Here is a 15,247-nt window from a genome sequence, read left to right as displayed (position 1 = left end):
CATACATAAAAAATATCTCTTTTCTAACTAAGAAGCTTTGTCAATCTTTAGAGCTGGTAATGTCTTAATCCTGGTTTGTGGTACAAGTGTGTGTGTTTGTGTGTATATGTTTTAGTATTTCTTCTCTTACAGAAAAAAAATGAAATGGCCTTTTAAAAATCCAGCCTTCACCTTTGTGATCAGAAAAAGGAAATCTAATTATATTTTTAGCTTTTGCAGTTTCTACTTCTCATCAATTAACTATTTTTGCTATCAAATGGAAAATCTGTTTTATACTCTGACCTCTAGCCTCTTTCCATCTAAATAGTTTTCATTCATCTTAGCCACTGGGTTGTGTTTTCTCTTCTACATTGGCTTTACTTTCATGTATAGTTTAACACTTTCTCATATATATATATATATTTTTATTTTTTATTTTTTATTTTTATTTTTTTTTTTTTTGAGACTGAGTCATGCTCTGTCGCCCAGGCTGCAGTGCTGTGGTGCAATCTTGGCTCACTGCCACCTCCGCCTCTCAGGTTCAAGCGATTCTCCTGCCTCAGCCTCCTGAGTAGCTGGGATTACAGGCATCCACCACCACATCCAGCTAATTTTTGTATTTTTAGTAGAGATGGGCCAGACTGGCCAGACTGGTCTCGAACTCCTGACCTTGTGATCCACCTGCCTTGGCCTCCCAAAGTGCCGGGATTACAGGTGTGAGCCACTGCGTCCGGCCTCTCCTATAATTTTTAAGATTCACTTCATGATTAATGTCTTGCAGGTAATATCCTGCATTCTTTTCTCTCTTTTATTTACCTGGAGTGGTGGTTGGACTGCTTTCATTTCTGTCCAAATATTCATTATGATAGCTAGGCGATATAGCTCTGGAGTCTAACTTAGTAATGTTTTGAAGGCTTTCAGTGTTTTGATCTTTTACTTTTTGCATTTCCAATTCTAGTGAGTATGAGTGACAAGTGGTCAGCAAGGTAGAAGCTAACAGATGAGAAAGAGTCATTAAAGGGTAGAAACTGCTGTTTTACAAGAAACAGGGATGAAGCAGGGAGAAGAGGAAGAAGAGATGGAATTTTTGAATTCATGCATCAAAAATTTTGTTCTTGGAGACACAGTGGGGAAGATAGACAGGTTTGTGGATATCACTGGAAATTTTTGAATGGAAAAGAGAAAGTGTCTTTGTAGAGGCATTTCTGTCTATACAGTAAAATGGGAGGAGGGGGTCACTTGTTAAAGTGAAGTTGAGACTGGGAGCCTCAGGACAATATTTGCCAGAAAAGAAGCAAAAGAAAAATATAAAGCTGAGTGAGGAGTGTTTTGGCTCAACGTGGATTAAGTTGCTCTGCTGCTTGAAGCCTTTCATCAGCACTGTTTGATTAGCAAGGAAAGTATTTTTTTCTTTCTTGATGTTTATTAATTTTGTGATTTGTCCTGGAGCACAGTAGGAGAAACAACTTGGGACAAATAAATCATATCAATTGGCCTCATGTATCTTTGTAACTTTTTCCTGAGCTTAAACTAGGGTCCCCTTTAACTGCAAGCGCCTAACACCATCATTATAGTCAGGAGTTTAGGGTGTTCTGGACCCACATTGAACTTGACATGCCTCCCAAGTGCAATTTTGAATAGATCGTAAATAAGGGAGGCCATCAGACCCCACTCTGATTGCCCAATCTTTGCGATGGACCCTGTCAGTTCTTGCCGTTTTCCATATAACTAGTGTGCTTGTTCTTGCTGCAGTACCTTTGGCTAAGGTGACTTCTTCTTCACCTGGCAAGGCTTTTCCCTGCTCATTTAAACATCCTTTATGCCTAAGTAGACAGTTTTCATCGTTCTAGACCTTGCCTTAAACTTGACCTCCTTCGTAAACTTGTCTAAAGCTGCAGCTGTTCTCTTTCTCTCTCTTTCTGAATAGTGAATTCTGCCCAGTTCAAATCTTTATTGATATATTTCTCCCTGTTTTCTTAGGCAGACTGTAATTTTCTTGTGAGAAGGACCATATCTTCTTTGTATCCCTTTTAGATCCATTCACCATAGTCTAGTGCCAGGTGTGCATGACGTCTTCATAAATGTTCAGAGTGGAATTTTTTGTCACTGGTGTTTGATTTTCATAAGGTGACGCCAGTAGTTGATGTTTCAAATATGTCCACTCCCCATATTTGTGATACTACAGATAATAGTTATTATAATTAAGTATCTTTGGTGTTTCAGGTTTTCTTAATAAGCTTTATTAATTTGGTAATTTAAACATTTTATTTTAATTTGCTTTTTATTTTTCTCTCTTCATTTTCATGGTTCTGTATGTTGGCCCGGAGTCGTGACTCTTAAGGATGCCATGGTAACCTGTCAGAGAATTGTTGTGTTAAGTTGTTCTTTGCTCCCTTCTCTGAGATGTGCTCAGCTATGATGATCTGCTCCATCACTCTTTTTTTCTTGCAGTTCATTCCTAGTGATTAAATTATCTTTTATGCCCTGTATTTTCACTATTTCTTCTCATATAGGCAATATAAAGCCACAGCATGTCTGAGATATATATGTCTCATATGGATATGCACTAATAATATGTATGAAAACTTTACAATTTAACTCATATAATTATAGGTCATTCCAGTTAACTTGTCATTGGGTTCTCACTGGGTAGCGGTAATTTGCATGGCTCAGTCAAGCCAAGGAACTTTTTATGCAATAAAAAAGTACAAAAGAAACATTTAAGTTGAATAATAGATTTATTACAAAATAATTACAAAATATATTTATTATTTAATACAAAAGAAATAAATGTAACACAAAGCTACAAATGGCATAAAAGTACATATTTGTGTTCCTTTTAGGAATCAAACATTTTAAGTCCAGTGCAGGATGGAACAAAGAAACCTCAGATTGACAGCAACAAGAGCAATAACTACCGGATTGTAAAGGAGGTCGGCAGATACAAAATATTCTTATATAGGTTTATATTTGCATGCCAAATAAGTTTTGCTTATATATTATACTTAATATTGTTATTTATTATATTTGATGCTTTCCCTCTTCCTTTTAAAGATTTTGATCAGGCTAAGTAAACTCTGTGTGCAGAATAAAAAGTGTCGGAATCAACATCAACGATTACTGAAAAATATGGGGGCGCATTCGGTGGTGTTGGATCTTCTGCAGATACCCTATGAAAAGGTTAGTCCTGGTTATTTTTTGTTCTTTAGCTTTTTATTTTGATACAATTTCAAATGTTTTGCAAAGTTCCAAGAAATTTTTTCTTTCTTAATTATTTTAGAATAAATCACCCACCAGGTGCCCCATCACCCCTGAGCCCTTTTGTGTATGTTTTCTACAAACAAGGGTACACTACCATGTCACCACACTAGAGTCTTCCATATCAGGAAAGAGCAAGGCACTTTACTGCCACCTAGTCCCTACACGCTACTCAGATTTCTCCCTTTGTCCCAATTGTTTTCGACTTGAAAAAAAGATCCACTTCAGAATCATGCGCTATTCGGTTGTCATGTTTATTTAAATCTCTTCATGTGGGAACTCCCATGACATTGACACTCTTGAAAATAACCAGTTATTTTGAAGGATGTCCTTTAATGTGGATCATCTGATGTTTCCTCGTGATTAATACAGTTAGGCATCTTTGGCAGGGACATAACCGGAGTGATGCTGTGTTCGTCTCATTGCTTCCTATTTGTTGGTGCACGATTTTGATTTGTCCCATGACTGATGATGTTCACTTTGATCAATTGATTGAGGTTGTGTCTGCCAGGTTTCTCTGATTTTTCCCTTTGTAATTCCCTTGTAATTAATAGGTATTTTGTGGAGCAGTTCTGTGAAACTAAGTAAATATCCCATTCTTCATCAAACTTTCAACTTATTCATTTATTGTGTTTATTTTTATCAGTATGGGTTTGTATATATTCATTTTATTCAATAGGTTATAAAGGGTTCTATCATTATTTATTTTGATTTCCAGATTGTCTCAGATTTGACCAGTGGAGTTCCTTTGAGCTAGACTATCTGTCTTCTAACATCACCCCCACCATTCTTTGATTACTTCCTTGCTTTCTGGCACAATAAAATGTTCCAGGTTCATCTTGTATTCTCCTTGCTTCGACTCTAGAATCAGCCATTTCTTCAAGAGGCCCCATTTCCATTTGGTGGGAAATGGTATTTAGGAGCAAAGTTCTGAGAACTGAGTTCTCAGTTCTTATTGCTTTGGGGTGTTGCCCCCATAGGCCCTCTAAATAGGCAAAGCTAGGGAATATGCATATGTATGGGTGCATGTAGAAATTTATTTAATATTAATATAAAATACCACTGAAAACATGAGTCCATCTGAATTCGTAACAATGCCCACATGACAAATGGTACAATCAACTACATGGGGAAATTTTAGGTAGTTTCACTGATGTTGTCACAAGACCACTTTTAAGAAGACAAATTTGCTTCTCTGTGAATTTTGAGACTTAAGTTTCTTGTTAAGATTCTTATAATCAAATGATAGTAGCTTAGTATAGGACTTTGGAAAATGGCAATGAATAAGGATATTCACTATTAAGAGTGTTAAGAAAGAGGGGGACAAAAAGGAGGAGAAAATAGAAGAGAAAGCAAAGAGGAAAAGAAAAAGAAATAGGTGGAAATAAGAGACAAGGTAAATAGCAAAAGGAAGGGACAGAGAGATTGGAGAGAGGAAGAACTGAGATGAGTGAGTAATAAATATATATACAGAGAAGATTGACAGAGTGGAGGAAGAGAGGAAGTTTGAATAGAGAGGAAATAGAGTGAGAGCAGAGCAGGAGAAAAGGGGATGGGAGCAGAAGAAATAATAGATAGGAAAAGAGGAAAAGAAGAGAGGAGATGGAATAGATGTGGGAGAAAGAGTAGGAAAGGAAGATGTATGAGAAAGAGAGTGAAATAGAGTAGGGAAAGAGAGACAAGAATAGAAGCAGCATGATGGAGATATAGGCATACTGCAAAATGAGACATTTAAAGGAAGGGAAGAATTATGGGGACTGGGGAGTACAGCAGAGAAGGGAGGAGAAACAGAGAAAGATAGGGACAGAGAGGAAAGGAGGACAGAGGAGGTGTGGAGATAAAGCAGAGGAGGAAAAGGTGGCTATGTACAGAGATGAGGAAACGTGGTGGACAGTTGGAAAGATTGGGGAGAAAGAGAAGGGCTGTGAAATGAAGGGGGCATTGGAAAAGTAGAGCAGAATAGAATCAGGAGGAATAACCAAGAGAAGGTGAGAAAGATCTAGAAAACAGAGAAGAGGGACAGGAGGGGAAACTGGGAGAGGTGTGAAACATAAAGGACACAGAGAAAGGAGATCAAAGATGGGCAGAGAGAAAAATGGTATGTGGGTGAAGGAGAGATTTTTGCATAACATTTGCTGTCTCCTATGTTTGTTTCTATCATGTGCTATTCTTTAACTTACAGAATGATGAAAAGATGAATGAAGTAATGAATCTAGCCCATACATTTCTGCAGAATTTCTGTCGAGGAAATCCACAGAATCAAGTTCTTCTTCATAAACATCTGAATTTGTTTTTAACTCCAGGTGTAAGTATTTTAGTGGCTTCTAGTATTTCTAGTAAAGTGTGCATCAAATTTGTCTCAGTAACATTCATGAAGAGAATTTTGTTACACTTCCTTGCTTCATTTTTTTTTCCTTGTGGAAATTCTCTCTCCAGAAGTGAATATCTTTTTTTTTTCATTAAGGAAACTTTTAAAGAAACTTGAAAAATTGCACAAGTTTTACATGCAAATGACAATGTATTTTATACGTATATAGTTAAATGTTAGGGAAAAGATATGGTAGAACAAAGAACTAACTCACAATACCATGAGTAAGGTAAATATGGAAAACTCAGAGGTGGAGTTTGCCCTTGTCTGTAAAATGTGTTTGAGCAGATTTTATGGAAGACCTAATTTTGAATTCATAATTAGTCTCAAGAATACTGTTGCCAATATGTTGCACTTTATGATAATAAGCTCATTTCTCCAACTAAATTCCTCTGTGAGCTCAGTTTTCTTTTAATGGTTAATGATCTCATCGCATTTTTTGAAAGACATGCACAGAAAATTCACTGTGGCTTCGTATAAAATATAAAACTGATCACAAGCAGGGCAATTAGTCTAAGTACTGTAGAATAGAAAATTGATCTTGTCAGAATTACAAGGGCATGTTCCTCTGTGTTTAGCTCCTTGAAGCAGAAACCATGCGGCACATCTTCATGAACAATTACCATCTGTGCAACGAAATTAGCGAGAGAGTTGTACAACACTTTGTGCACTGCATTGAGACACATGGCCGCCACGTGGAGTACCTGAGGTTTTTGCAAACAATTGTAAAAGCAGATGGTAAATATGTGAAGAAATGCCAGGATATGGTAATGACAGAGGTATGTTCTCAGTTTGCCTTTTATCAGCTTCACCTAAACAGTATGTTCAAATATGCATTTTCTATTACAGTGAAAAAGCCCCCAACAACATAGGTTTGGAAAATTATTTAATTTAATCATGACTACTCAAGTGCAAATATATTTTGCTTTAATTTAGTGAAGCAACATATCTTAAGTTGGTTTTATGATTTTTCTAAGTTTGTTTTTCTTTTTGACCTATAATGAATTTGTGTATTTTAAAAAATGGGTAAAATCCTATGAAATGTTGTCGATTGTTTGGAATGAAAGTGACAAAATTTTATATTTTTAAGTTTCCAATGATATAAGAAAGACAGATTAAACTGTGCTTTTCCAGTGCCTTTATTGCTCTGTTTCTGAAACATAGAATGGGTGTTCTCTGCTGCTATTTGCAGAAAGCTTTGAAGAGAATCAAACTAAGTAATACAAACTACCTAACAGTGATTTTTTTTACAACATGTGGAAACTTACTACTTAGAGTAAGTTACAAATTTCAGCAAATGAATAGATGAAGGTACTTCATTTCTTTATTTGCCTTTTTCATGTTTATGTTTGACATTGAGTGATATTTATGTAATGAGTAAGTTACTAGGAAGCAAGTATGATACATTGGAGAAGTAGCAGCTTAAAGAGCCCGTTGATTAAATCACCGCTCTGTGACCAAATGGTTCTCTAGTGGCCCATTTGGGTTAAGGGAGCTTCCACCCATGGCTACCAAACAGTTACATGGTAGATTTTTATTGGTTTCTGGGCATTTTCATTATGACATACCTTAAATTTGGGAATGGAGGAGATTTCCATAATGATTCAAGGAGTCCCTCCTGCCACTTAGAAATCTTAAAATTAATTTAGCTTAAAGCCTTGAATTTTTTTAAATGTAAATTATTGTTATTAAACATTTTAAGGAACATTTTAAGCTTGTAAAATGCACCTTTTTCTTATCTGCATTTGCCTACACATTAGCTCTTCATTGTCTGGAAATGTGAGAACTAAAGGATTTTGTGTTATGATCAGCAAGGAAAGAATTAGAATGGGGAAGCAGCAACAGTGAAACCATCCCTATGATACTGTTGGGTGAAGTGTTTCTGTGCACAAAGAAGTATTTGTAATATTATGTTAATATATAATACATATTTTTGATACACATACATTCTCTTTCAACAACACTTTCAAAGTAAGCCAATGAATCGGCTTATAGATTTAAATATATTGTCACTTTAAATATAATACCTAGAGAAAAAAATTGTATGTCCTTAGTTACCCACCAATGTATCTCACACTGGGGTTAGAAAATTGGTACTGATAATAGACAATAAGATACTATGGAGCTTGAACAATAAAACTGCCACCTGATGGAATTTTCTACTAAAATTATATAAACAAAATGTGAAGGAAAATTTATGTCTTAAAAGACCCTACCTATTCATATCTTTGTTTCTCTCGGTTTTTTGGTTTTAGTTTTCTACTTATTTCTCTTAACTCTGCTTTTACCTTCATTCTCTGCTGATGCCTTCTTATGACACATGGAATTTTGTAGACTTTTGTAGAGCTGTAATTAGCTCAATGTACTTGCTTCCTTATGTAGTCATTATTGCAATGGATGAGGATATTTTACTCTGCTTTAGTAAAATTATGAGATTTCTTGTGCTTTGGCCATGGAGTCTCCCAAAAAAAAGTAGAGGAAAATAACTTTATTTTTTTACAGGTTTAATTTCAGTGTGATGAACAATTTACTTTCATCCATGTTGTTTCATTCTTGCCCTATCTGCTGCTTCCACATCGCCTCAACTGGTTTTGATAGCGTTCATAGCTGGTTCCTTGGCATGGGACCATAATCTTGTCACCACCCTCCCCAAGCATAGCTCTGTCTTTGCCGTATTATATATGTTTTTACGAAGAGATATACGTGTTTCCAGATATATCAAGCCTTTGGAAATAACTGCAAGGATGAATGTTCGGACTGCTACATAGACTCTCTTATTATCATTTCAGTTGATAAATGGGGGTGAAGACGTGCTGATATTTTACAATGATAGAGCATCATTTCCAATCCTTCTCCATATGATGTGTTCAGAGAGAGACCGAGGGGATGAGAGTGGCCCCTTAGCCTACCACATCACCCTGGTGGAGTTGCTGGCAGCATGCACAGAGGGGAAAAATGTCTACACTGAAATCAAGTGTAATTCCCTTCTCCCGCTGGACGACATAGTGAGGGTGGTGACCCATGACGACTGCATCCCTGAGGTAAGCCTGGCAAAAGCTTAGCAGCTCTAATAGAATCATTATTAATTTTTGAAGTTTATCTAGGTGCCAGAAGTCCCCCATACTAATATTTATAATGAGATCATATATTTAGTCAGGGAATTGTATTTAACTATATAATTTGGAAAATGTAAAAGAGCATAGAAGGTCTACTTTTTAATAAGAAGTTCTATAAGAAGTTCTGCAAGATGATAAACTTTTTTTTTTTTTTTTTTTTTGAGACAGAGTTTTGCTCTGTTGCCCAGGCTGGAGTGCGATGGCAAGATTTCGACTCACTGCAGCCTCCACCTCTTGGGTTCAAGCGATTCTCCTGCCTCAGCCTCCCGAGTGGCTGGGATTACAGGCATGTGCCACCATGCTCAGCTAATTTTTGTATTTTTAGTAGAAATGGGGTTTCACCATGTTGGCCAGGCTGGTCTCGAACTCCTGACCTCAGGTGATTCACCTGCCTCGGCCTCCCAAAGTGTTGGATTTACAGGCGTGAGCCACCACAGCCAGCCTATGAGAAACTTTTAAGAACTATAGCCACTGCTAGTTTAGTGGAAGCTACTAGACAGCTCTCTTCAATTCTAAACATGGCCATATGATCAAACTGAAAGGTTTACTTGAAACTTTAGTATGTACTTGAGCATAAAACAGGTGCTTCAAAAATTATTCATAACCATTGATTGGAGAGGCTAGGATAGTGCTGCAGGACCACATAAAAGACTCTGCAGGTTTACCTGGCTTTATGGAATAGATGCATTCTTGAAAATATGCACACACAGTTTGCTTTATTCCCACATCATTTACCCTCTGTCCTAGTTTGTTTCTGATGATAGAAAAAGTCTCAGTAGCAGCTGGTTGTCTGCCAATAGGCTTCTATTAATGAGGCATCCAGGAATGTACATTGCGATAATGTCTTTCTTTTCTACTGTTGGGAGGGGATTGGAGGGGAGGGAAGGAGAGGGGAAGAAGAAAGAAAGGGAAAAGGAGAGGAAGGAGAGGTTGCTTTTGACTCCTTGTATCTCAAATATGATAGGCTTGTTTTGCATAAAGTTCTTTCTCACAGCAATGGTTGGCCCAGGGGGATGGAGTACTAGGCCCCGTGTTTTCACCCTTAGGTCAGTGGACTGTTAGCAAAAGAAGAGAAATGAGAATACTTTCTGGATAGACAAAACTATGCTATGATCTACCATAAAAACTAACAGATTTTATGTTAACCTTTCATAATTGATATTTGAAAGTCATCAATAAAGAAAACTAACTTTCTTTTGTATTTGAAACTTGCACAGGTTAAAATTGCTTATGTGAACTTTGTTAATCACTGTTATGTTGACACTGAAGTGGAAATGAAAGAAATCTATACAAGTAACCACATTTGGAAATTATTTGAGAACTTCTTGGTGGATATGGCAAGGGTAAGTTAGATTTTGACTACTGAAGGGTGTCAATAGATATTTCGACTAAATAGTATTAAGCATCTGGATGAAAACTTGCAGTTAAATTCACTACCTTTTGATTTGTTGCATTCATTCATAAAGTTGTGAATAAATTTCAGAAGATTGTGAGTGAGATTTAATGAGTTAATATATACACAAAATACTTAGTACATTGTAGATGACAATAGGTAAAGTGTTCATTTTTACCTTTATGAGTGACTGTGTTTGTCTGTTATTAAATGGAATCTTAGTGGCCTCTTTATATTGGTTAGAGAAGATATTTGGCAGAGGTCAATTTGCATTTAATCTCTTATTCTAAGTGCAATTACAAAGCACAGATCAAGAGACCTAAAGAGGTCTTGACTACTGCTTTCAGGCAGATAGGTACTTGACCAGCCGACTGAGGACTTGGCCTTGCTCGCTGTTGCCTATTCAAAATCTTCTTTGGAAGTGTACTCCAGTAATTTAATCATCTGGCATTTTCACTCGTGTCCACCAAATTATATTCGCTTATTACTGTTTGTTTTGTTGGGGGCTGTTGGGGAGGACATGTGGAGCTGGTTGGCATTTTCTAGATACTGCCTGACATATGTTTTTGCTCTGTTAATATTGAGTAAATGAATGAGTGAAGAAATATAAGAAAGAAGGAATATCTTTGATGGACAACACAATTTTCTTTAGCACATCTTAGCCTTTTTTTTTTGCATACTGAATTATCATAACAGCCAGTGTCTAAAAAAAAATCTAATTTTCCCTTTAAAGTTATGGGACTTGAAGTTCAAATAAAGTTTCACTAAAGAAGACAGTATATAGATAACTCCTTAGACCTATTATGAATGATGGTGGCTGGACTCAGCCCCTTTGGCCTTCCAACATTCCTGAGTGCTAGTAGCTTTGTATAGGCCTTATATAGATGTATTTGGAGGAGAAAGATTAGTGAAGTCCATATTTTCATTATCTCAATTACAAGAACAGATGCTGTTATCTGTTAGCTCACTGCCTCTCTATACCTTTTTCTGAAAGGAGGGATGACAAGGTACATCCTTGTCATCCCTCCTTTCACTGCCTGTAGACTCAGACATGTAAGAGCACCCTTGGATAATACAATGAATCATACGTTATTCCAGACCACGGACTCTTTTTATTTAGCCAGGGTTTCCAAGTGAAATGTGCTTAGTTTACCTTTGGTGTGGTGTAGTGTGGTGAGTGAGGTAGTTCCTGTTTTACTTCATTTCCATACAGCTAAAAGCCACTTATTGCCTATCTCAGGTAAATATGCACCTGTAGAGAAATCGTCCTGTTTTATGCAGCATTTAACATAGTACTCATATGTGTCCCCATTGACCTTGTGAAAACTTTGTTTCTGACCAGCTATAGTATCTCCAGAGACCTTCAAGTAAGGAGTGACTTCCATGCCAATGACTAAGCTTTAAAACTGCACGTGCAGGAGGATATTAAAGAGATTATAGACTGATTTGCGGAGTTGCACAGTGCTACTGACTAAAGATAAGCTTGAAACAGATCAAGGTCACATTGTAGGCAGCATGAGCTATAAAGCTGAAAGGATTTTTATTTTTTAAACCAAAGAAAGCCAATGATAACTTCCATTGATTATGCCACCTGAGAAATACCGTTTTCACCGATGTATTTGCAAGGCAAAGGTGTACAGATTTACATTCTTTTTTTGAAAAACACAAAAAAAAAAACAAAAAAATAGCAATGATTTTAACTATTGCTTAATTGGATAATTAATGTTATTTATTATATTAAAGCTCTAGGGGAATTTCAATATCTTCTTGATCTATTTATTATTTATGTCTAACCACAATAACTTAGCTATACTGCAAAAAGGTTTTTAAAAATATTTCCCTCTTGTTTATATTTTAAAACAGTAGCTCTCTAATCCCTTCACCAGGGTTGACAGGAATCACCTTTCCTTTTTCAGGGAAGGAAATAGAAACCTGACTTTTTCATATCTGGGATTTCTTTCTCTCCCCATGAAGAAAGATCAGAGTCACCAGAAACTTTCAAATTCAAGTTATAAAACTAAGTGTGGTTAAATGAATAGAATGTGGCCTTCTAGGTAAATTTTCAGTTCAGTTGAGCAGTTTTTAAGCTTTAGTGAGCATCAGGCCTAGCTGGAGGGCTTGGTGAAATACAGATTGCTGGTCCTTGTCCCCAGAATTTCTAATTTCCATAAATGAAAGACTTTACATTTTTAACAAATTCCTAAGTGGTGCTGCAGGTGCTGGTCCAGGGACCACACTTTGAGAATCACTGTAGTAGACAGAGCATGGTAGCTAAGAGTAGGGATTTCAAAAGATTTAGCCAGACCAGAGTTCGAGTCCAGACTGTGCCTCTCAGTAGCTCAGTTTATCTTGGGCAAAGTACTTAACCCCTCTGGGCCCTGAGTTTCCTGATTTGTAAAATGAATACAATAAATTCACATTCCCCATAGGGTTAGTGGGAGAATCCAATGAGATAATGTGTATAAAATTCTTAGCACATATTAGCATCAGTAAGAGAGTTGGTAACATCATCCATATCATTGTATCCAGAGGACCATTCAGCATAGGGAAAAACTAGAAATTATGTCCATAAAGCTGGACATCCACAACAGTAGTTGACATGAATAGCCACGTATGAGATAAACCAAATCCAGATGTTCCAACAAAGTTATGACATTCTGGAAGAACTGATTTATATCCATGAGAAATGATGAAGGTAATCTGGAGGAAAGGAATTTGGTAAGTTGAACCTAAAGAATCATAGCATCTTAGGGTTGGAAGAGACTAGTAGTCAAATTTATATACAGTTCATAGTCTTCAGCACTTACTCAAATATCTGATTAACAATGAGCTTACTACTTTTTTCTTTTTCTTTTTAAATTTTGTGGATAAATAGTAGCTGTATATATTTATGAGGTACAGGAGATATTTTGATACAGCCATATAATGTGTAATGAACACATCAAGGTAAATGGGATATCCATCACCTGAAGCATTTATCCTTTCTTTCTGTTACAAACAATCCAGTTATATTTCTTTAGTTATTTTAAAATGTACAAGAAATTATTGTTGACTGTAGTCACTCTGTTGTGCTATCAAATATTAGATTTTATTCATTGTTTTCAACTGTATATTTGTACCCATTAACCATCCCCACTTCCCCTCTGCCCCACTACCCTTCCTAGCCTCTAGTAACCATCCTTTTATTCTCTATCTCCATGAATTTAGTTGTTGCAATTTTTTTAGTGCCCACAAATAAGTGAGAACAGGCAAAATTTATCTTTGTGTGCCCGGCTTATTTCACTTAACATAATGACCTCCAGTTCCGTCTATGTTGTTGCAGATGACTGGATCACATTCTTTTTTACTGGCTGAATAGTACTCTGTTGTGTATATGTACCACATTTTCTTTATCCATTCATCTGTTGATGGGCACTTAAGGTGCTTCCAAATTTTGGCTATTGTGAACTGTGCTGCAACAAACATGGGAGTGCAGATATCTCTTCAATGTACAATTTCCTTTCTTGTGGGAATATATCCAGAAGTGAGATTGTTGGATCATATGGTAGCTCTATTTTTAGTTGTTGCTTTTTTTTTTTTGAGATAGAGTCTGGTTCTGTCACCCAGGCTGGAGTACAGTGGTGTGATCTCAGCTCACTGCAACCTCTGCCTCCGGGGTTCAACCATCTCCTGCCTCAGCCTCTCGAGTAGCTGGGACTACAGGCATGCACCACCATGCCTGGCTAATTTTCGTATTTTTTTTTTTTTAGTAGAGATGGGGTTTCACCATGTTGGCCAGGCTGGTCTTGAACTCCTGACCTCAAGTGATCCACCCATCTCGGCCTCCCAAAGTACTGGGATTACAGGCGTGAGCCTCTGCGCCCGGCTATTTTTAGTTTTTTGAGGAAACTCCAAAATGTTTTCCCTTGTGATTGTCCAAATTTACATTCCCACTAATGTGTACAAGGGTTTCCATTTCTCTACATGCTCTTCAGCATTTGTTATTGCCTGTCTTTTGGATAAAAGCCACTTTAACTGGGGTGAGATGATATCTCATTGTAGTTTCGATTTGCATTTCTCTTGTGATCAATGATGTTGAACACCTTTTCATATACCTGTTTGCCATTTGTATGTCTTCTTTTGAGAAATATCTATTCAGATCTTTTGCCCATTTTTGAATCGGATTATTCTATTTTTTCCTATAGAGTTGTTTGAGGTCCTTATAGATTCTGGTTATTAATCCCTTGCCAGATGGACAGTTTGTAAATATTCTCTCTCATTCTGTGGATTATCTCTTTACTTTGTTGATTGTTTCCTTTGCTGCACAAAAGGCTTTTTTTTTTTTTTTTTTTTTTTGAGATGGAGTCTCACTCTGTCACCCAGGCTGGAGTGCGGTGGTGCTATCTCAGGTCACTGCAACACCTGCCTCCTGGGTTCCAGTGATTCTCTTGCTTCAGCCTCCCGAGTAGCTGGGACTACAGGCACCTGCCACCACTCCCGTTTAATTTTTGTATTTTTAGTAGAGACGGGGTTTCACCATGTTGGCCAGGCTGGTCTTGAACTCCTGACCTCAAGTGATCTGCCCACCTCAGCCTCACAAAGTGCTAAGATTACAGGCGTGAGCCACTGTGCCCGACCTGAAGCCTTTTAACTTAACGTCATCCCATTTTTCCGTTTTTGCTTTGGTTGCCTGTGCTTGTTGGGTGTTACTCTAGAAATTTTTGCCCAGACCAATGTCCTGGACAGTTTCCCTGATGTTTTCTTGTAGTGGTTTCAAGGTTTGAGATCTCAGATTTAAGTCTTTAATCCATTTTGATTTGATTTTTGTATATCATGAGAGATAGGGGTATAGTTTCATTTCTTCTGCTTATGGATATTCAGTTTTCCTCGCACTATTTATTGAAGAGACTGTCTTTTCCCCAGTGTATGTTTTTGGCACCTTTGTGGAAAATGAGTTCATTGTAGGTGTGTGGATTTGTTTCTGAGTCCTCTTTTCTGTTCCATTGGTCTATGTGTCTTTTTATGCCAGAACCTTGCTATCAAGTTTTTCCTTATTACATTTTTTGCCTAGTTATTTTTTCTCCAGCAACACAAAATAATTCAGTTAAAGATGTGTTTACTATAAACACCTCCTCACTATTCTTGCTAGTGACC

The 15,247-nt window shown here is 37.0% G+C and overlaps 1 protein-coding gene across 8 annotated transcripts in view; it reads left to right on the top strand.

The window, feature by feature from the left end:
* The window catches only part of ITPR2 (inositol 1,4,5-trisphosphate receptor type 2), a 497,843-nt gene that overhangs the window by 227,666 nt on the left and 254,930 nt on the right, over positions 1-15,247 (top strand). For all 8 annotated transcript variants that reach the window (XR_001748686.3, XR_001748687.2, NM_001414174.1 and 5 more), the window contains 6 exons: positions 2,823-2,912; positions 3,034-3,159; positions 5,420-5,542; positions 6,184-6,384; positions 8,395-8,646; positions 9,939-10,064. Coding sequence is in view for 6 of the 8 variants with exons in the window: in NM_001414174.1 (NP_001401103.1) it covers positions 2,823-2,912; positions 3,034-3,159; positions 5,420-5,542; positions 6,184-6,384; positions 8,395-8,646; positions 9,939-10,064 (918 nt within the window). In the remaining 2 variants the exon portion in view is untranslated. The remainder of the gene's footprint in view (positions 1-2,822; positions 2,913-3,033; positions 3,160-5,419; positions 5,543-6,183; positions 6,385-8,394; positions 8,647-9,938; positions 10,065-15,247) is intronic.

Source organism: Homo sapiens, chromosome 12 (assembly GCF_000001405.40).
Source record: "Homo sapiens chromosome 12, GRCh38.p14 Primary Assembly".
Classification (NCBI taxonomy): Eukaryota; Metazoa; Chordata; class Mammalia; order Primates; family Hominidae; genus Homo; species Homo sapiens.
The sequence above is the reverse complement of the archived record's forward strand: the minus strand, read 5'-3'. Positions and strand labels throughout refer to the sequence as shown.